The sequence below is a fragment of the Homo sapiens genome, chromosome 6 (genome assembly GCF_000001405.40).
Source record: "Homo sapiens chromosome 6, GRCh38.p14 Primary Assembly".
NCBI lineage: Eukaryota > Metazoa > Chordata > Mammalia > Primates > Hominidae > Homo > Homo sapiens.
Window position 1 is genome coordinate 1535662 of NC_000006.12, and position 22172 is coordinate 1557833.

At 45.5% G+C, this 22172-nt stretch overlaps 1 long non-coding RNA gene across 5 annotated transcripts in view; it reads right to left on the reverse strand.

Moving 5' to 3' along the window:
* Positions 1–19625, reverse strand: part of LOC102723944 (uncharacterized) — a 102009-nt gene extending 82384 nt beyond the window's left edge. For 2 of the 5 annotated variants that reach the window (XR_001743921.2, XR_926382.2), the window contains exons 1-2: positions 19471–19625; positions 16685–16823 (exon numbers count right to left, since the gene is read on the reverse strand). This is a non-coding gene — a long non-coding RNA (uncharacterized LOC102723944). Of the gene's footprint in view, positions 1–10353; positions 13518–16684; positions 16824–19470 lie in introns of those variants that run through there. The other 3 variants (XR_001743922.2, XR_427861.4, XR_926384.2) reach the window with 3 other exon arrangements.
* Positions 19626–22172: the final 2547 nt, after the last annotated feature.

Below are 22172 nucleotides of genomic sequence, written 5' to 3' on the forward strand. Positions count from 1 at the left end.
CACCAATGATGCCATCTTAGGAAAGTTGGAAATAGTCCATTCGAATATCTTGAGACTCCTTGAACAATGAAATATACTTGGAAATTAAAGTTTCATGTCCCAGCACAGCGGTTGTCTCTCATGAAAATGGTATCAGATGTTTTACAGGTTTAACTTACATTAATATAGTTGGCCTTTCTTATCTGCGGTTCTACAACCACAGATCCAACTGACCATGGATCAAATTATTTTTAAAAATAAAATAAAATAAAAACAATACAAGCCAGTCACGGTGACTCACCCCTGTAATCCCAGTACTTTGGGAGGCCAAAGCAGGGAGATGGCTTGAGCCTAGTTCAAGACTAGCCTGGGCAACATGATGAAACCTCATCTCTACCAAAAAAAAAAAAAAAAAAAAAAAATATATATATACACACACACACACACACACACACACACTAACATATATAAAATAATATATAAATATACTTATATATAAAAAATAATATATATACTTATATATAATAATATAGATAATAAAAAATAATATATATATATTATATATATATACACACACACAAAAATTAGCCAAGCATGGTGGTGCATGCCTGTAGTCCTAGCTACTCTATCCTTGAGGTGGAAGGATCGCTTGAGCCTGGGAGGCAGAGGTTGCAGTGAGCTGAGATCATGCCATTGCAGTCCAGCCTGGGTGACAGAGCGAGACCCCATCTCAAAAAAGAAATTTTAAAAATAACAATACAACAATAAAAAATACAAATAACAACAGTACAGTATAACAACTATTCACATGTTATTTTCACTGTATTTGGTCTTAAAAGTAGTCTAGAGATGATTTACAGTATGCAGGAGAATGTGATTAGGTTATATGCAAATCTTACATTTCAGGGCTTGGGCACCCTAGGATTTTGGTATCCTCTGGGATCTTGGAACCAGTTCCCCAGATACTAAGGGATGCCTGTAATGACCATGGCGGGGGCGGGATTCAAGAGCAGCCAGAGACTTCCCGTTAACTTCCCCCATCTCAGGTGCAGCTTTCACCTCACAGCAGCCGACAGCCGGGCTGTCTCTGTAGACCCGTCTGACATTCCTCTGCAGCCGCTGTGGGACTTGCCCTGAACACAGCGATCCTCCGGGCCCCCACTCCCAAATCACGGCCGGTGCTTCCAAAATGCGCCTCTGCTACCTGGATGTATCCCCATGTGCAGAAACGGCACACATACCCTAATGTTGTTTTGAAAACTGCACATTAGGTAGGCACGAGGACATGTGACATTCTCTGGCTGTGCTCGTAGACATAAACAGTTGGCTAAAGAGCACACCACGTTTTCAGAGACTCTGTTTTCAGAGAAACCTACTCCCTCTCCACCCTTAACAAACCCTCAAGTGCAAACCATAAGGAAGGGACCTGCAGGCTTATTTCCTCTGTCTGCTTTTATTGCCCAGCGTGGACTCTGCTCCCCAAAGACGCCTCAGATGGACTGTGGTGGCTACTGTTTCAGAAACAGTGACATGACGATCAAGGGCCCGAACCACTGTGATAACCACAAGAGTGCCCAAACTTTCAAGAACAGGGGAAACTGACCCATATAAAGCCACTTACACACCACGTAAAAATAGACACACCAAGGTATTACAGATACTGCCAAATAAATAACCCCTTTTTAAAGAACAGCTTTCAGTGGTCTGGAAGGAATGAATGTTTGCTTAAAAAGGGAAACAATTTGGCTCTCCTCTCAGTACCAACTGTGCCCTTTATAAAAATAAGAGACCTCAAAACTGTCCTAAGCCCATTCCTCAGGATTGCTGAGGCAGGAGTCCACGCACTTGGGTGGCCAGCATCACATAAAACTGAGGGAAGCAAACCAAGGAAACCAAGGGAAACTGTGGGAGGAAGTGCTTCGTACGGACCAGGGAGGATTATTTGGGAACGTTATTAGGAGTTACGTGGTGATAATGGGTTGCACTGACACCAGGCCACGGGAGCTCCCGTGTCCCTCTGAAGATGCTCATGAGCTTTCAGTATGGAGTGAGTAGTACTTTTAGGTCTCTTTTACAGTAGAAGTAATGGATTTTCCCATTGTCTGCAAGGTACAGAGTAGGTCTGGTAGCTCTCTGTTTTATTTGATCCGTCTGCAGGTAGCTGCTAGACGGTTCATTTGGACAAAACCTATTTTGAGGGCTTAATGGATCCAAATAGGCAGTGAATTAGGCTCAAAATAGCTGGTTGATCACTGCCATGCTTTGTTTTGTTTGTTCATGTATACGTTTGGTGGTCATGGCTTTGAGAAATTAACTCATTCATGTCTAGTTAATAATAGAGCAAGAATTTTTAAACCAAAAATAATAGACCTTAGTGATGGCAATTTACAAAATAAATGAACAGACGAAGACCAAAGAAAAGGAGGGAGGGCTGGGGATGCACCCTGGCTCCCCACCTCACTCCAGTCCCTGCCCCAGGCTGCTGTCTCCCTTGTGTGCAGACCTGACCTCATTACGCCCTCAGCCCCCGGAGGGCAGAAGGTGCTGTAGTATAGATGTTGGTGCCTCAGATGCCAGATGAAGCACACAGTAAGGCTTAGCAGATGTGAATCGTGGATTCATTTCCTAAGATGAGTTTCCCTTTGTTGGTCAAACAGTTGGTTGGGTTGGTCTTCTCAGAGCCTCCGTGGCCCACATCCATCCCATACTCATCAATAATCTGGCCTGAAAGAAGTATCTCCCCAAATAAGGTGGGCTTAAAAACATCCTTTCCCAAACCTACTGGATCAAGGGAATGTCTTCCTTTTTCTGACAGGAATGGCTAATTTCCCTGCAGCTGGTGTTGTGAGGAGCATGCCTTGGCAAGTGCTGTGCTCAGCTGTGTTCCAGCCTCAGATCACCCTGCAGGCACTGGTTCTGCTGGGCCCCTCTGCTGGCTCTCCAGGCCCCTCACCCACAGCCACCTGCTGAGCTTTGCTGGAATGCTTTCACGTGCGTGAACCAGATTCAGAGATGCTGAGGGGAAGAAAGATGGAGAAGGGACGCCTACATTACAACTATGACGACACGTGTTTGTAGGTATCAAGGCAGGTCTGGGGAAGTTCTGTGCAGATATATTTAACTTTGTCCTTGTAATTTCAGGGTCCCTAGATAAAATGCTTATAAGAGCCCAGGTCTCAGAGCCAGGGAGCTGGGAGGCCTGTGGTTCCTCTTCCAGAGCAGGCAGCTGGACTTGAACAAGGACAAGGAGCGCAGAATGTTTTTCCTTATGTGAGAACGAGAGAGTCCCTGGGAGCTCCCTGTGCCTCGGCTGGCTGGCTGACGTCCGACACACCAGAAAGATCGCCAGAAAAGCGATCTGATGGGCCAACAGAGAGAGCAGGCCCACTTTCAATGTTAGGGTTTCAATGTTGAAACCAGATGTCTCGAGGGCTCACACATCCACAGAGCATCCAGCGATGTGTGTACACACACGGGGTGATCTCCCAAGGCGCTTCCGTCCACTCACTCCGTGGCTGCCACAGAGGAAGAGGTAAGAGCACTTCCATGGCTGGCATATTGCAGTAGAAATCACGACTGGATGTCAAGGCCAGGGTCATTGCCAGCTCTCTTTACTACTCAGTGACCCAAAAGACTCCACTGAACTCAAGTTCGGCCTGCACAGTGCTAAACTCTCCAGATGTTCCCAAGTATGAAGATTTAAACCATGTTGACACAGTGTACTTTCAATATCCAGATGTTCTGCTGTATTGAAAAGATCCTGTCGAAAATATAACTTATAACTTGTTTTCATGGTTTCAGGCACTGCCTACTGAGGACCTACTAAGTTCTGCAAAGTGTGCTAGGTGCTTAAGCGTATTTCTAATCTTTACAACCACCTTTGTTTTTTTTTTTTTGTTTTTCTTTTTGAGACAGAGTGTCACTCTGTCATCCAGGCTGGAGTGCAGTGGCGCAATCTCGGCTCGCTGCAACCTCTGCCTCCGGGGTTCAAGTGATTCTCCTGCCTCAGCCTCCCGAGTAGCTGGGACTACAGGGGCGTACCACCACATCCAGCTAATTTTTGTATTTTTAGTAGAGACGGGGTTTCAGCCACCATGCCCGGCCACAATCACCTTTCAAGGCAAATATGATTACCCCCTGTTTGGCTGTCCTTTTCCTTACCTCAGTCTTGCTGACAAGGAGAGCACCCGCCATTTTATGGGGACAAACTGAAATCAGAAGGTCCCGTTGCCTCAGGTGGAGTCCCAGCACTGGCAAGAGCAGGAATGGGAACACAGGTCTGCCCAACTCCAACATCCACTCTGCCTTCCTCTCTCTGAACCTGTTTCTTCATCAAACCATGGCCATAATGCCATCTTTGTGAAGTTGCTAAGAAAATTAAATAATGTATGTATGCATGGACTAGGAGGCCACAAACTCAAGGCCTATTTACCCAATTTAGCAACACTGTGTATAACTTAGCCAGTGCAGTACTTTGGAAAATGTGTCCATCGAAATCAACAGGCAAGGCTGAGGTCACCCGTGAAACACAAGCACACTACTCTCCAATGTCCCACACTGCCAACTCACTAATTGACCTTACCTGATTGGTCGTTAAAATTACGTGCATTAGGCCGGGTGCAGTGGCTCACACCTGTAATCCCAGCACTTTGGAAGGCCAAGGCGGGCGGATCACCTGAGGTCAGGAGTTTGAGACCAGCCTGGCCAACATGGTGAAACCCTGTCTCTACTAAAAATACAAAAATTAGCTGGGTGTGGTGGTGGGTGCCTGTAATCCCAGCTACTTAGGAGGCTGAGGCAGGAGAATTGCTTGAACCCCGGAGGTGGAGGTTGCAGTGAGCCGAGGCCACACCACTACACTCCAGCCTGGGCAACAGAGCGAGATTCCATCTCAAAAACAAAAAACAAACAAACAAACAAACAAAAACGTGTATTGACAACCCTCCCCACCCTGCCCCTGGGTATGCAGAGCACAAGGACGAAGTCGACAGCAGGCGCTCTGTGCTCCCGGGATCCCCGGGATATAAGAAACACAGGCTGATAAAGATGGCAAGAAGAAAACCCTTCCCTGATCCTCCATCTCCACAGGTGCTCTTTTCCCACGAACAAGCCAGGAATCACAGCTGCTCTCCCACCCCACAGAAGAAAGCCATCTCTTTTTCTCTTTTTTCATTTGTATTTGTACTGTGGTAAAATACATATAACATCAAATGTGCCCACTTAGCCATTTTTAAGTGCACAGTTCAGTGGCATTACTGCACTCACATGTTGTGCAGCCACCACCACCATCTCCAGAACCTTCTTATCTTCCCAGACTGAAACTCTGCACCCACTAAACACTGACTCCCAACTGCCCTTGCCCCAGCCCCCGGAAAGCCCTATTGTACTTTTTGTCCAAAAGAGTGACATCTTCCCCAACTTTCTCAAACACGGAGAGCCTTGGTTAATGATTAAACAGGCGCCAGGACACTCTGTCTGCCCCTGTCTTATATCAATTCTATGAAGGCTGAGGGTGTTTTGAGAAGCTGAGCATTTCGGCCTGTGTTGGAATATTCTGTGTTCAGATAAATGATACGGTGGAGTGATACGTTTTTGAAATAACTTTACCTCGTACATTCTTCAACTACTGTCGGAGAATGCATCACCCTGGAGGAAGACTCATGGGAGCCCAACTCCCAGGATAGGGCAGGACTGTGAACAGAAAGCCTGAAGTGTGAGTGGAGGAGGGAGCTGGGGGCAGGAGCTGCTCCTCCATCCCGTGGGATCCGATCTGTCTTTCATCACAGGGTGAAAATTCAGTATTTCTGAATCCCTTGTGAAATGATCAGAATCACCCGACTACTTGAGTAGCAATTAGAAAACATATTGGGATTGCTTACAGCAGACTAGCAAGATTACAAAGAAACAGAGGACCTGGGTGGGCACAGTGGCTCATGCCTGGAATCCCAGCATTTTGGAAGGCCAAGGCCACCACATCCAGCTAATTTTTTTTTTTCCTGTAGAGATGGAGGTCTCACTATGTTGCCCAGGCTGGTCTTGAACTCCTGGTCTTAAGCAATCCTCCCACCTCAGCCTCCCAAAGTGCTGGGCTTGGCGGTACTCCTGTAGTTCCAGTTACTTGGGAGGCTAAAGTGGGAAGATCATTTGAGCCCAGGATGTCTAGGCTGCAGACAGCCTTGATCACACCACTACACTTCGGCCTAGGTGACAGAGCAAGGCCTTGATTTGAAAGAAAGAAAGAAAAAGAGAGAGAGGTGGGGGGAAGAGAAAGGAAGAAAGGAAGGAAGGAGGGAGAGAGGAAGGAGAGAGAGGGAGAGAGAGAGGGAAGGAGAGAAGGAGGGAGGGAGGGAAGGAGGGAGGGAAGGAGGGAGGGAGGGAAGGAGGGAGGGAGGGAAGGAGGGAGGAGGGGAGGGAAGGAGGGAGAGAGGGAGGGAGAGAAGGAGGGAGAGAGGGAGGGAGAGAAGGAGGGAGAGAGGGAGGGAGAGAAGGAGGGAGAGAGGGAGGGAGAGAAGGAGGGAGGGAAGGAGGGAGGGAGGGAAGGAGGGAGGAGGGGAGGGAAGGAGGGAGGCAGGGAAGGAGGGAGGAGGGGAGGGAAGGAAGGAAGGAAAGAAGGAAGGAAGGAAGGAAGGGAGGGAGGGAGGGAGGGAGGGAGGGAGGGAGGGAGGGAGGGAGGGAGCAAGGGAGACCTGGTCTTCCAAGTCCATGTGTTCTATGGAGCAGTAATTTCATGAAATGCTCAGGGAGAAAACACTCAGATGATTTGGGAAGACATTGTTTGTGGAGAATCACAAAACACATTAGCACATTAAAGGCTTGTGAAAATCACTTTAAGATTTGTCACTAGAATTGACTTTTCAAATTGCATCATTGACAGCTACTGACAGCCCATGAAACTAGGTATTGTCAGAACATACTCTGACAGCCTACTAAAATGACACATTTTAGAATTTAGAGCCAAGGTACTATTTTCTCTGCTGATAACTGAGTATGCTTTAAGATTTCTGAATATATAACTAAGTTCAATAGTCATCTCATAGATAATAGATGGAAAAAAATAACATAACAGAAGCTGTTAGTTGCCTCATAATATCCTTTCTTCTCTTCTTTGGTCACAGAACCCTGATTTTATTTGGGGGTGGCAACTTGGCCAACTAAAAACTACATCTCCCAATCGCCTTTATAGCTAAGTATTGCCAATAACTATATTCTGGCCAATGGGACAGTACTAGTGGGGCTTTGGGGAGGGTTTCTTAACAAGAGATAATTCAGTTGGGTAGTGAGCCCATTTTGCCATTTCATGGCTCCTTTTTTCTGCCGTCTGGAATGCAGATGTGATGGCAGGAGCTCCATCAACTATTTTGGACCATGAGGTTACCCTGACAATGGAAGCTATGCACTAAGGATGTGGGATCGGAAAGGCAGAAGGGGCCTGGGTCTCTGCTGACATTGTGAAGCTGCCATACTAGTTCAGGAATGCCTACATTTAGACCTGATAACAAAATGAACACTTGTATGCTTAAGTCACTATAACTGGGGGTTTTCTTTTATATGTAATGAAGCCAAATCTTAACCAAAGAAAAGACAGTCACTACTTGAGAGAGTTTATTGATACCCCTGGCTCAGGAGATCTGGCCAGCTTTCCAATAAACTTCCATCTTCCCAGCTGTTTTTCCAAGTGAAACATGATCTATTACCTGATAACAAATAGCAAAATTTCCTCTCTGTCTAGGGATTCCTCCTCACCCAGAATCTTAGCCTGTGGCCCTTTCTCCTTTCTACAGGAGAGGAATTATGTTTTCTTTGCCAGATTCCTTAAAGTGTTATACACGTGGGTTTGCACCAATCTTTGCTTTCATGATATAAATTTCTCCTGTAAATCTTATTCTCATTTTCTTGCCTGCTTGCCCTTTTGGATGGAGACTCTCACCACGAGGTTGCCAAGTCACTCAGTTGTGATCTTTTCTCCAGGTTCCTACCCCTTTTTCTCCATCTGTCAGGAATCAAGTTTCAATAAGAGGAAGTTTATTTTTGAGTCAGTAAATTGATGTAAGAAGGGAAGCAAAACTATTTTGATTAGAATATGTTTGATTAAATATCTTTTCCAGCTGTCTGACCCCAACTCAAGAGCTCCTTATTCTTTCTATGTGCAAACAAAATGAAGCAAGGCCCACCTTAGAAACAAAAGGTTTTCTCACAATGAAAATGTTGGATTCTTCTTCCTCTCAGAAATAATGTCATCTAAGGAAAAGTTCATGATAAGTTTGCTTTCTTCTTTTAAGGTAACTTTTGCATACGATGTTAATTAAGTAAAATATTAGTTGAATTTTGTGAAAATATCATGATTCAGTCACTTGCTTTGGTCTTTAGAATAAGGATGGATGAATAAATAAAGAGATAGAGGGATTGATGGGTGTGTGGATGGGTGAATGGAAGGATGGGTAAATAGAAGAATAAACTGATGGGTGGGTGGAAGAGTGGATGGATGAGTGGATAGGTAGATGGATGGGTGGGTCGGTGGATGGATGAGTGGACTGGTGGGTGGATGGATGGATGGATGAGTACATGGGTGAACGGATGGGTGGGTAGATGAATGGGTGGATGGATGGATGGGTGGGTGGGTGGATGGATGGGTGAGTGGATGGGTGGGTGGATGGATGGATGAGTGGATGGGTGTATGGATGAGTGGATGGGTGGATGGATGAGTGGATGGGTGGATGGATGGATGGACGGATGGATGGATAGGTGGAAGGGTGAGTGGATGGATGAGAGAAGGAGAGGAAAAGAGTAAGAGAGAGAGAGAGAGACAAATAGAGAAACTATTAGAATCATCAGATGATTGAGAGAAAATGTAGTTCATTTCCCTTTATGTACTGATGAGGAAGCTGAAGCCCAGGGAGACCAAGTCCATGGTTCCCCCAGTGAGACCTAAAATCCAAGACTGCTGCCTCCCAGTCCAGAGGTCTAATATTGCTATTTTGTCTCAGTCCTAATGGAATTAGCCAGTTCAAACTAATTTATTCTGCAATAGGAACCAATGGCCAAATCTCCATGGCTCAAAACAACAATGGTTGACTTCCTGCCTACACCACATGTCCACAGCTGTTCTGCAGAAGGGTGCTCTGCTCACCTCAGCCAGTCAGAGACTTCGGCTGACAGAGTTTCACCATCTGAGGTCATGGCCATCTCCCCAGACAGTCTTCAAGTTCACTGCTGTGGGTAGAGAGAACATAGAAGTCTCCCAGCAGCTCTTCCATGCCTCCACCCAAAAGTGACCTGTGTCCCTGCCACTCCCATCTCATTAGCCAAAGCAAGGCTCTGGGAAGTTGGAGAAATGTAATCCTCCGTTATGTCCAAGAAGGGGAGAATAAAAATATTAGGGAGCTTGCGAAATGTCTTCCACACCAGCCCTGACTGCAGTCACTATTTAATAACCCACAGGGCAGCTTTGGGAATGGTCTATACCTCCCATATTTTGCATTACAAGGGTAGGGAGAGACAAAAACAAGGCTCACTGCAACACCTTTCTCAAAATAACAGAATTGACCTCTGACAGAAGCTTGGAAAAATCCCAACCCAAAGCCACAGGAAGCCCTGGACATCTCTAGTTCCGGCTCTTTGTCATCAAATCTGCGAATACAGAGGGTCAGATCTTAAGACCTTAAGCACATAATACAATGGTCATGAAGAAAACTCTATTTTTAGAGCATGCCATTTCACTAAGCTAGATGGTTCTGGAGAATGTTAGACCTGGAGGGAACCATTTCCTCCCTTATCTCTTTTAACAGCCCCCAGATAGCTGGCTGATAGATATTATTATCATCAGTTACAGATGGCAAAACCGATACTTAGAGGATTAACAAGAGTGGATCAAATGCATTAGTCACAATAACCTGGGTTACCTATGTTGACAAACAATCCTAAAATCCCAGTGCCTCAACATACACGTGTGCTCTTGCTCACATGGTATCCAACATGAGTTGCACAAAATTCTGCTCTACAGCCCTGTTTGGGACCTAGGATGGAGGCTCTTTCATCTTACAGCCACAGCATCAAAGCACACGGCCTTCTCATCTGGGAGGCTGGCGAACACGTGTCTCCTCCGTCTCACGGTGAGAGAAAAGGAGGCGACCAGCGATCAAAGTGCTTCACCCACACAGAGCACAAGTCATCTCCACTCACTGCCTGTTGGGCAGAGTTGGCCGCGTGACTGTCCCCGAGCAGTGGCTGGGAAGTACACTTCTCTTTGTGGGCAGGGCAGGAGAGAGGCTGGCGACGTCCACCAAGCCAGGGCAGGCAGCAGCAGAGCTGGGTCCAGAGCCCAAGCATATTAGTCTGTTCTCACACTGTTATAAAGAAATACCTGAGACTAGGCAATTTATAAAGAAAAGGGATTTAATTGGCTCACAGTTCTGCAGACTGTACAGGAAGCATGGTGCCAGCATCTGCTTGGCTTCTGGAGAGTCCTCAGGAAGCCTACAGACATGGTGGAAGGCAAAGGGCAAGCAGACACCTCACATGGCCAGAGCAGGAGGAAGAAGGAGGGGGAAATGCCATACACTGTTAAACAACCAGACCTCATGAGAACTCACTCACTATACAGTACCAAATGCTAAACCATGAGAAACCAGCCCTGTGATCCAATCACCACCCACCAGGCCCCACCTCCAATATTGGGGATTACAATTGAGCATGAGATTTGGGTGGGGACATAGATCCAAACCATATCACCAAGTCCTCTGGATTTCCTTCCAATGTTCCTATTCTGTGGCCAGAGTAAATGGCTCAAGTGAAAATTCAACTAGGCTCTAATCCAAGGACCTTGGGTTGGTCACTTACCTACCTGAGACAACGTTTACTCACTTATAAATAGGAATAATAAAAGCTACCCCAAGGCCTATTGTAAGGATTACATGAGATAATGAATATTAAGCACTTACTATAGTATCTTGCACATAATCGGCCCTCATTAAATTCTTGTTGCTGTTGAGATTGTAGCTGTAAAGCCACCGTGGCCTTTGACGTCATGAACAGTGTCGGCTAGGTGATCGAAACATCTGCCTCTTCTCTGCAGATGTCAGACGTTGTCAAAGTCACCCTCCAATGACCCAACTTTACTTCTGGCACCATCCTGGGACTGACAATTTGTCACGCAGACACAAAGAAAAACCTTCTCATGGACCCTCCAAGGAGTCTAGGTTCTTATTATGAACCCTCGTTTTATCTGTTAATTCAGTACATATTTATGAAGCACCTCTTCTGCATTTATTCCCTATGCTGGGAATAAAATTTTAGAAAAAACAAACATAACTCATGGCATTTATGGTCTTTGTTTTTAATTTTTTATCTTATTTTATTTTTAATTAATTAATTTTTGTTTTTTTAGAGACCAAGTCTCACTCTGTGGCCCAGGCTAGAGTATAGTGGTGCAAGCATAGCTCAAGGTAGCCTCAACCTCCTGGACTGGGAGCGATCCTCCCGCATCAGCCTCCCAAGTAGCCAGGACTACAGGCGTGCACCACCAAGCCCGGCTCATTTTTTTTTTTTTTTTTTCGAGATGGAATTTCACTCTTGTTGCCCAGGCTGGAGTGCAATGGCGTGATCTCGGCTCACTGCAACCTCCACCTCCCAGGTTCAAGCAATTCTCCTGCCTCAGCTTCCCGAATAGCTGGGATTACAGGCGTGCACCACCACACCCAGCTAATTTTGTATTTTTAGCAGAGACGGGGTTTCACATGTTGGTCAGGTTGCTCTCGAACTCCTGATTTAAAAAATTAAAAAAAAAATTTTGGGTAGATGGGTCTTGCTTGTTGCCCAGGCTGGTCTCAAACTCCTGGGCTCAAGTAATCTGCCCACCTCAGCCTCCCAAAGTGTTGGGATTAGTGAGCCACTGTGCCTGGCCCACTTTAGAGTCTTTGAAGAAACACAAAGTTACCTTGCAGTGTCTTTGGAAATAAGTAGGCATAGAACTCACCCTTTGCCAGTGAAGTGGACTGGCAAACACTGCTGTCACATTTTGTACCCACGCAGAGCACCGCTTCAGGCACACTTGGTCCAGGCACACTTGGTCCACGTGATCTTTGTAGGTGAACCCTGCACGCTGAGTCCTGTGGTGGCCCCTGGCCCCTGCCACCCTCCCGGGATTGCACGCTTTCACAGCCACAGCAAGCTCAGCCAGCGTTCACTCTTCTTCTAGCCCATCCTACTTACCACAGTCACTTAACTCCGAAAAATCCTGGCACCTTCTCACTGCCTGCCAAGTTGTACTCCACTGGCACGTGGATGGTGTGACTGCCTTTACACGTGACTGGGAATCTAAACCCCACCCTGCTCAGCGCCATGGCGGGGTGTCTGATGCAGCAGCCGCAGCAACAGCTTCCCAAGTTGTCAGAGAAGAGCCTTAAGCTTCCTTGCTACATGGGACTCCAGGAGTCCCCTGGGAAGTTCAGGCTAGAGCCTGTTTGTTCACCTTCCCCATGATTCCATAAACCATTTAATATCCTGAAATAAATCCCTTTCTGCTCTGCTCTGTAACTGAACCCTGACCAACACCGAGACTGGAATCAGGAGAGGTCGTAGGACTGAGTCTTAGGAATCAAAGTCTCAGCTCCCTCGGCTGGGTGGTTTTCAAACTCCTGGGTCCAAATGTATACACATAATTTCAAAGAAATCAATTTCCAGATCCTTACCTCCTTTATACACTCTTGCCTCAAGGCAAGTGTTCAAAAGCACACTTTATAAAAGAAAGCACTAGCCCTCAGCCTTCCCAAACTTACTCCACGAGGGTTTCTAAACCCTCAAATGCCAAACACAGGGAAAGGCTGTCCTGATAACCAAGCAAGGCCCCACCACCCTCTGCCGTTCCAGCTTTCCCTGCCTCATGGTACTTTCTGCTAAGGAAGGGGCCTGGCTTTTGGCCCATGTTGGGATGTTCTGAATTCAGGTATATGATAGTGAGCTGGTGAGCAGTGACAAGCGCTGAGTAACGACCTCATCTCTGACGTATCTATCTACCGTCAAAGGAGGCATCGTTCTGCAGGAGGAGTCCTGTGGGGACCTGGGTAAGGAATGCTAGGTGATTTGGGGGAAGAGAAAGAGGAAAGAATTGGGAGAATTGACTGATATTTCTATAAGAAACCTTTTCCATTCCCATCAGCTTAATTTTGTGATCAGGCTTTCCAGCAATTATACCTACGAAGCACAAAAAGTAGGAAAAGAATCCAGGCAGAACCATCTGGCAGTGGTAGATTCTGGCGGTGGTAGATTCAGTCATACATTTTTAAAATAAGGAAATTCCAGCTGGGCGTAGTAGCTCATGCCTGTAATCCCAGCACTTTGGGAGCATCTCCTGACCCCAGGAGTTTGAGACCAGCCTGGGCAACATAGGGAGGCCTCATCTCTACAAAAAAACTTTAAAAATTACCTAGACATGGTGGCACGCACCTGTAGTCCCAGCTACTCAGGAGGCTGAGGTGAGAGGATCGCTCGAGCCCAGAAGTTTGAGGCTGCAGTGAGCCGAGATTACACTACTGCACTCCAGGCTGGGCAGCAAAGTGAGATCCCGAGAGAGAGAAAGACAGAGAAAATTTTAAAAACTCATCATGTAAGTGAGACATTTCCAATAAAATTTCACTCTTTGAATTAACACAATTTTTTTAGCAACGTTTATAACATTTATGTTGTTTTCATAAGTTGCATGATAACAACCATTGTAATCATGACCCAGAAAATACTTTAAATTCCTAAAGTCTTTTGGTGGCAGGAAATAAAGAACACTTTACAATTTCGATTCACATACATTTTTGGTTGCAGAAAAGGGTGATTAATAAATGTTTCAAGCGTAAGTATAGGATGAACCTTGTAACTGAAGGAAGCCAGTCTCAAAGGATAGCATACTGCATGATTCCATTTACATATAAATGCTTGGAGTGAGCAACTCCATAGAGACAGAAAGTGAATTAATGGTGACCTAGAACTGGGTGGGGTTGAGGGAGATGGAACAATTGCCGGGGTGATAGCTGAGGGGTGTAGGGCTTCTTTTGAAATAAAAATGTTCTAACATATATTGTGGTCACGATGTAAAAGTCTGTGAATATATTAAAAGCCATTCAATAGCACACTTTACTTATGTGAATTGTACAATAGATAAATTATATCTTAATAAAGCTGTTAAAAATATACATTAGGCTGGGCACAGTGGCTCACACCTATAATCACAGCACTTTGGGAGGCTGAGATGGGAGGACTGTTTGAGACCAGGAGTTCGAGACCAGCGTGGGAAACACAGTGAGACCCTCTATCTCTACAAAAGAAATGAAAAAGCAATTAGCTGGGTGTGGTGGCACATGTCTGTAACCCCAGCTGGTCAGGAGGCTGAGGTGGGAGGATGGCTTAAGCCCAGGAGTTCAAAGCTGCAGTGAGCTGTGATTGCACTACGTACTTCAGCTGGAGCAACAGAGTGAGACCCTGTCTAAAAATATATATATACATACACACACACACACACACACATTACATTATGAAGGAATCCTAAGAAGAAAGTGAAATGGAACTTTATATGTTCAAGAGTAAAAAGACAAATTTTCAAAATTTTGAAAAATTTTCGAAAATTAAAGAGATTGTTCAAATATTTCAAAGTAAATGATGATGGATAGCATGTCATTATAGTGTTTAGGCTCCATGGATACTTTTCACAAAGTTACATGACATTTTTATCATAATGTCCCTATTGACAGTGCAGCGGTAGATTCACCCCGTAGCTAACAAACCCCAATCTTCAGAGGCTTTCACTAGCACAGGCCACCCCCAAGGCCTAGAAATGGCTCTTCTGGGTCACATATTTTAGTAAAATTTACAAGAGTAAGACCTTTCAACCTTAAGGATTAATACCTCTTTTTACACTCCCCTTTGTCTTTCTTCTCCCCATGTGTGGTGGCATTGCAGTGGCCATGGGTGCTTTTGAAAGTCCACTAATTGAATTGGGATAAACAAGTTAGTTGGGGTTTCAGAGGATGTATTTACTGGTGCAGTAACTTCCACATATGATTATGTTATTGCTAGCCCCTCTAGTGTAAAAATGATTTCTAGAAATACTCCCTCTGCCCACGGTCCTGAGGACCAGAAGTCATGCTGTGATATTCATTTTCTGTGGTGACCAGCACCATGAATGTGTGGACAGTAGAGAAGAAATAAGGTTGGAAATGTACACAACCAGAAGCCAGTCTACGTAAAAACATAATAGAGATGAATCAGGCAGATCTTCAATAAAAAGATCTCTTTCTTAGGTTTTGTCATGTTAGCTTTTTTTAAACTTCTAATGTTCTGTGATCCATTTCAACTATTTACACTTATCAGGAAAAGGTGAGATGTCAAGTTAAAAAGTGGGTGAAGGTGAGGTCAGGAGATTGAGATCATCCTGGCCAACATGGTGAAACGCTGTCTCTACTAAAAATACAAAAATTAGCCAGGAGTGGTGGCGCATGCCTGTAGTCCCAGCTACTTGGGAGGCTGAGGCAGGGGAATTGCTCGAACCCAGGAGGCAGAGGTTGCAGTAAGCCAAGATCCTGCCACTGCACTCTATCCTGGCAACAAAGTGAGACTCCATCTCAGAAAAAAAAAAAGTGGGTGAAGGGTACATTATTTTTCTAAATTTTTTCTAAATTGTCTTCAGGAGTGTATGCAGAAAAAAATTTGAAGACCACTAAGTTATCTGACTTGGCTGGGCTTGAAGCACAGGAGGTCTCATTCACATCAGAAGGTGGGACCCTGGTGCTCTGTAGCAAGAGGTGACGCAACAGTTGCTTGAACTCTGCTTTCAGAGTTGGGGTTATAGGAGTCAAGTGATAAGTGGAGTTTTGGCTCACGTGCTTCTCATGATGTACCTTGTAGGTCTATAAACTTATCCTGTAGCATTTCCTGGGTTTCTGAATGCAGAGCACTCTCTATGCAGAAACTCTATGAATGTATGCAGAAACACCCAGCTACAGAATCCCCACACTCATCCCTGGCCCAGGAAGTGAGGACTATTTAGGTAAGAAGGAGCAAGTGGAAAACCCTGGAACCACTTCTTCCTATCAAGAGTTATCAAAAGCAACATCACATCCCTGAATGAACTGCCAAAGACTTGAAAGATGTAGAGATGGCCGGGCGTGGTGGCTCATGCCTGTAATCCCAGCACTTTGGGAGGCCGAGGCAGGTGGATCATGAGGTCAGGAGATCAAGACCATCCTGGCTAACACAGTGAAACCCTGTCTCTACTAAAAATACAAAAAATTAGCCGGGCTTGGTGGCGGGCACTTGTAGTTCCAGCTACTCGGGAGGCTGAGGAGGAGAATGGGATGAACCCAGGAGGCAGAGCTTGTAGTGAGCCAAGATCACGCCACTGCCCCCCAGCCTGGGCGACAGAGTAAGACTCTGTCTAAAAAAAAAAACAAAACAAACAAACAAAAAAGATGTAGAGATGACATTTCCTATTACGGCCACTTAACTCCCCTGCTTCACCTATGTAGAACACATATGGCTGTTGGAGGATAATAAGGGTTCACTGTTAATTTAGTCAATAGATGGCTTCCATTGCAGCTTTTGTTCTAGACATAGTTTTATGACTGTAGCAAATCAACACAGCCCCCAGCACCCAATATGCAGCTATCAGTTTGGTAAATGTGTTGTCTCTTTCCCAATAAAACCACCAGAAGCAATATTATTTTACCTGGTAGGGACAGCAATACACCTCCACAGTCTTACCCTGTGTCAGGACTGTGCCTTCTCTCCCAATTACATCTGCAGGGAACTGTGTTCATGTGACCATTCCAGAGGACACCACATTAGTAATACGATTCTTATTGCACCTAGTGAGCGGAAACAAGTACATTATGTGCCTACATGTGTGCCAAAGAGTGGAATGTTGTGTCACAAGAATTCAAGAACCTGCTCTCTCAGCAGAATTGCTGTGCCCAGTGATCTGGTGAGCGATGGGATATCTCTCTGAATCTTGCACCCCCTACTGCTAATAAAGAGCTATAGCACTTGATACGACTCTGGATTGGGGAACCAATATGTACTGTGTGTGTGTGTGTGTGTGTGTGTGTGTGTATGTGGGTGTGTGTGCAGCTCTGACCCATATTCTGAATAACCCATTAGTCTGCCAGCTTTGAGAAAATCCCAGGGCAGGCCAGGCATGGTAGCTCATGCCTATAATCCCAGCACTTTGTGAGGGCCAAGGCAGTAGGATCGCTTGAACCCAGAAGTTCAAGACAAGCCTGGGCAAAAAAAAACCATGACTCTGTCTCAAAAAAAATTTTTTTTAATTAGCTGGGTGCATGGTGGCATACACCTATAGTCCTAGCTTCTCAGGATGCTGAGGCAAGAGGATTTCTTGAGCCCCAGGAGTTGAAGGCTGCAGTGAGGTATGGTTGCACCACTGTGCCACTCCAGCCTGGGTGACAGAGAGAGACTGTCTTAAAAAACAAAAACAAAAATTTCAGGCCATGTGCAAGCAGCTTTACCACCACTTGGATCCGTAACAGATCTAATAGTGCTGGAAGCATCCATAGCCAATCAGGATACGATGGTGTCTTATTTTAAAATGTTAGGTCTTATTTTAAAAATGTAAGACTGAACATACCACTGCCAGAATATGCCACTGCAGAACCCCTCAAGGAAAATCATAGGCAAGGCTGTATGTCCAATCACAGAGTTGGTGGAAGACTACAGCATCTCAATACAAGAAAGACCACACAGAAATAGGACCTCTCAGGAAAAAAGACTTAGATTGCTCCACTAGATAAAGAGCACTAACCAGCAGAGGCGCCGGATATGGTGAAAGGAAATACATGCCAGGATAAAGCAAGGATGCTCAACAGTCCAACCTCAGACTCACAAGCCTTGGAAAAATGAGGACTGTAATAGCATTGTTTTCCTTCTTTTCTCTATCCTAGTCAATTTATATTTGTCCTCCCCGTTTCCCTTAACATTTTATATTGGATGTGTTTTATATAAGATGTGACTTTATAATTAGGTCTACGGGTTATAAGATATCAAGGGAGGATTATGACTGAACTCGAATGAACACCAGGACAGAATCTAGAACATAGAACCTCCGTGACAGCAGGATGCAGTGGCTCATGGCACTTCCCCATTTTGGGAAGAAAGTGAGTTCCATGTTTTACTGCAGGGGGAATCATTGCCATTTGGAAGTGTACGTATGAGAAGAGAGGAGTGCATGGGAGTTGAGTAACCAGGTGGAGGACTGTGATGGGAACTGCGGATTGAGTCACCAGCAACCATGCTGACATCATCCTAGCATGCCTTCATGTATTGTAGGAGCTGGGACGCTGGAGTTTTTACTATATTTCCCCAACTCCCTTGCATCTAGGGTTCTACGGTGATTTAGATTCCACTATTCAGGAGAATTAGTGCGAGATTAGGAAGGCATGTTTCTAATATTCTGCTGACAAGCACCATTGTGAAGGTACCTGGTTTCGCTCTGAAAGCGGGAGGAGAGGTCTCAGTGTCTACTTACTGGCTTTGTGGAGTATTAAAAAGCACTGCCCAGGGAACCTATTTGCTGGTGTGGGTTATGCCAGGGGTGTCACGGTTTTAGAGTTGGCAGCACTAGCAGTAGCTTTCGGCTTGGGGGAGTTTCTTGACTATATCAATTGCCTGTCATGGTGGTTTCCGACCCGGGCAGGTGGCATGGTTCTGGGGCTAGCAGCTGTGGCCACCGTTTCCCTACGCCACTGGTGTCTGCTGAATTCGAGGAGGGGCATTAGATTCTTTAGTTCTTCAGGGTGGCTTTGGGTCGTGTTCTTAAAAGATCAGTCTGGAATCTGATCCTTCAGTCTTCCCAAAGAGTCTGTAAACCACTTAATATCCTGCCGCAAATCCCTTTCTGCTTAAACTAACTAGATTGAATTCCGTTCTCTGCAAGCCAGCCTGGGCGATAGACCACAGAACCCTCTGCGCTGTTCCTCTCCCTGTGGATTCTTTTTTCCCAAACCAAGTCACTACACGTGGATCTAGAATATATTATTTATTCTTCTCGGCCAAACCACAGGCTTTCCTTTTTACAAAATCAACTTGAGGTTTACCCTCTGTGAAGCCGTTTCAAATGAGGTCGAACACGCTTCTCACTTCCTCTGCAACTGTGACCCGGACACTTTGGTAACGGCTTACTGGGGGCTCTAAGACCATTAATCGGTTTCAGAACCGGAGTCCCTGTGCCTCCCTTGGGAAGCACTTTTCACATAAAGTAAAAAGTTCGGTGACCTTAGCAGGGCAGACGAGGCCTTAAACACTGCAGTTTAAAGCTGGGATGGCAAAAGACGTGGCCACCTCTTCCTCTAGTCTTTCCAACTCTCTCTCTTCCGCTTCCTTCTCCCTCCCCTTCTCACGACGCCCGGCCATTGCCTCTGAAGCTGGATGGTGGCTGGGCACGCCCCGCCAGGACATTCGTTCAGGGGAGGACGCCCGAATCTGTCAGCAAAGCATCCCTACCTGCAGGAGGCCTGGAGCTCAGCGCAGCCCCCCACGCCTGCCCGGGTCCCCGAAACGCGGCTGCTCCAGCGCCGGGGGCGCACACCGCCCCCTGGAGGCGGGCCCTGGCCCTGAGCCCCGCGCTCCCGCCGGCGCCGACTCCACTTCGCGGCTGCGCACTTTGCACTTGGCGCCCAGCCCTGGCAGATCGGGACGCAAACACACACGCACCCACGGTTTACAAGAAAGACTCTTCAAAGGAAAACTAAATGGGGGGTGGTCGTTCTAATAAATATAACGTGCAAGGCTCAACTATGTGAGTAATCATTAGAAAATGCAGAAAATGTGTTTCTCTTTATCTGCCATTCCCATTCCAATTCACTGCTTTTTTAAAACCCATTTATGCCCTTCTCAGAAGCCTCCTCCGTGAGCAATATCATCCAACTTCGACAGCAGCGTCAACCACTTTAGAAAATGAAAAGAGATAATAATTGGCAATTAACATCATCTACGTTTTAATACATTTTACAAAATTAAAATAAAAATGCAAGGCAGCCGGGCGCGGTGGCTCATGCCTGTAGTCCCAGAACTTTGGGAGGCTGAGGCGGGCGGATCGCCTGGGGTCAGGAGTTCGAGACCAGCCTGACCAGCGTGGAGAAACCCCGTCTTTACTAAAAATACAAAATTGGCCGCGTGTGGTGGCGCATGCCTGTAATCCCAGCTACTCGGGAGGCTGAGGCAAGAGAATCGCTTGAACCAGGGAGGCGGAGGTTGCAGTGAGCTGAGATAGTGCCATTGCACTCCAGCCTGGGCAACAGGAGTGAAAAAGTCCGTCTCAAAAAAAAAAAAAAAAAAAATGCAAGGCAAACTAGTTGGTCAATTGTCATTTGTGTCATTTGTGTCTATGTGTCATTTCCAAAACTCAATATTCTTTGAATAATAAAACCAACGCTTTCTCTAACAACTTGTGTGACATGTCCCCGAATCAGCATTTAAGATTTCGAACTAAAACGTAATCCGAAGAGATTCCTTAATGGGAAGGTTGGCAAACTTGCCAAGGACATAGACCTGTTCCTGTTCTTACTTCAGCTGGGCTTTCTTTTAATGAGTGGATTGCATTATACACTTTTTTGTTATGTTTTGCATTCACATATGCATAAAATGCTTTTCACTAGGAATCAACCAGATATTAAAAGAACGTAAACATATTCTGGCCATAAATGATAAAAGCTGCATTTGTAGACATGCTCAGCATATCTATTATTGGCCACTGGGTCAATGTTGAGAATTCCCAAAAGAAGTCCCCACCTACATGGCAAAGCTGATGGAGCCTACAAACCGGGAACATCGTAAGTATTAACCATCCTGAAGTATATTCTCTCTTACAAGACGTTGGAAAAACAAACGATGGGCATCTAGAATGACAATAGCTTCCTACTCCTCCTGCAGTTAAGAAAGACAAACGCTGAGAACCGTTGGAAAGGCAAACAAAATTGTATGCGAAGGTCACATTCAGCCAGAAGAGGTGCTCCCAATTACGTTTACTTAAAGGGAGAGGTCCAGACACATTTTTGGTATCCTCCTTTAAAAAATGTTGCAGTCCTTAAAATTTGGTAAGCTTCTGTGACTAAAAGTATCTTTACTGCTACCTAAAGTATGTACATATGTGCATGTTTAAAATCCCTTCTTTTCATCATTTTCAGAGACACTATTTCAATTTCCTGCCCTGAAACATGTGGAATTTCATTTTAAACAAAAGTCTCCTTTCAGGGACTTGCAGGCTTGGTGTGGCTGATTGGTGCTGGAGGCCGCTCAGGACGCAGTTTCTCACCTCGTCACACATGACCTCAGACATAGCAAGTGCCGTGCAGAGTGAGCTCTTGCTCTTCAACTCAGATGATAACCAGAAGCCTGGGCCGTGTCTTCCACATTCTCTATAGCTGCTGCATGGTGCCTGTATTATCTTTTTTTTGTTTGATTGTTTGTTTGTTTGTTTGTTTGTTTGTTTGTGGCAGGGTCTCACTCTGTTGCCCAGGCCGGAGTGCAGTGGCATCAATCCTAGCTCACTGCAGCCTCAACCTCCTGATCTCAAGCTATCCTCTTGCCTTGGCCTCCCAAAGTCCTGGAATTACAGGCATGAGCCACCATACCCAGCCCATATTATCGTTATAATACACACAGGGATCCCAGGAATGAATAAGAGCTAGTACATGTAGAGCATATTCTATGTGCCAGGAATGTATTATTACATGGAATCTCTCACAGCTTTGTGGAAGGTAGGGACTGAAATTGCCTCCATTTTCCACCTGAGTACACTGAGGCTTATAGATGATAGTTACTGGGCCCGAGGTAAAGGAGCCCAGGGGTCCAACCCGGCACCATTATGCTTGGCATTATATTGTTTTCTTTTAATAACTGCCTTTAATTAATTAATCAGGCACATTATTCTTCCCTTAGACCTGTATGTAATCGACAGTCAGTAAATGAGAAATAAGAATGATGGTTGCAAAGCCAAATAACACCAATGTGCTCAGATAAAAGAGTTTTTAAAATTTAGTTCATACTGAAGACCTTTCTACAGTGAGTTATTCCCAGAGTTTTACAATTAACTTATCAATTGAGACTATAGGCCAGGTGCGGTGGCTCACCTGTAATCCCAGCACTTTGGGAGGCAGAGGTGGGCGGAGCACTTGAGGTCAGGAGTTCGAGACCAGCTTGGCCAA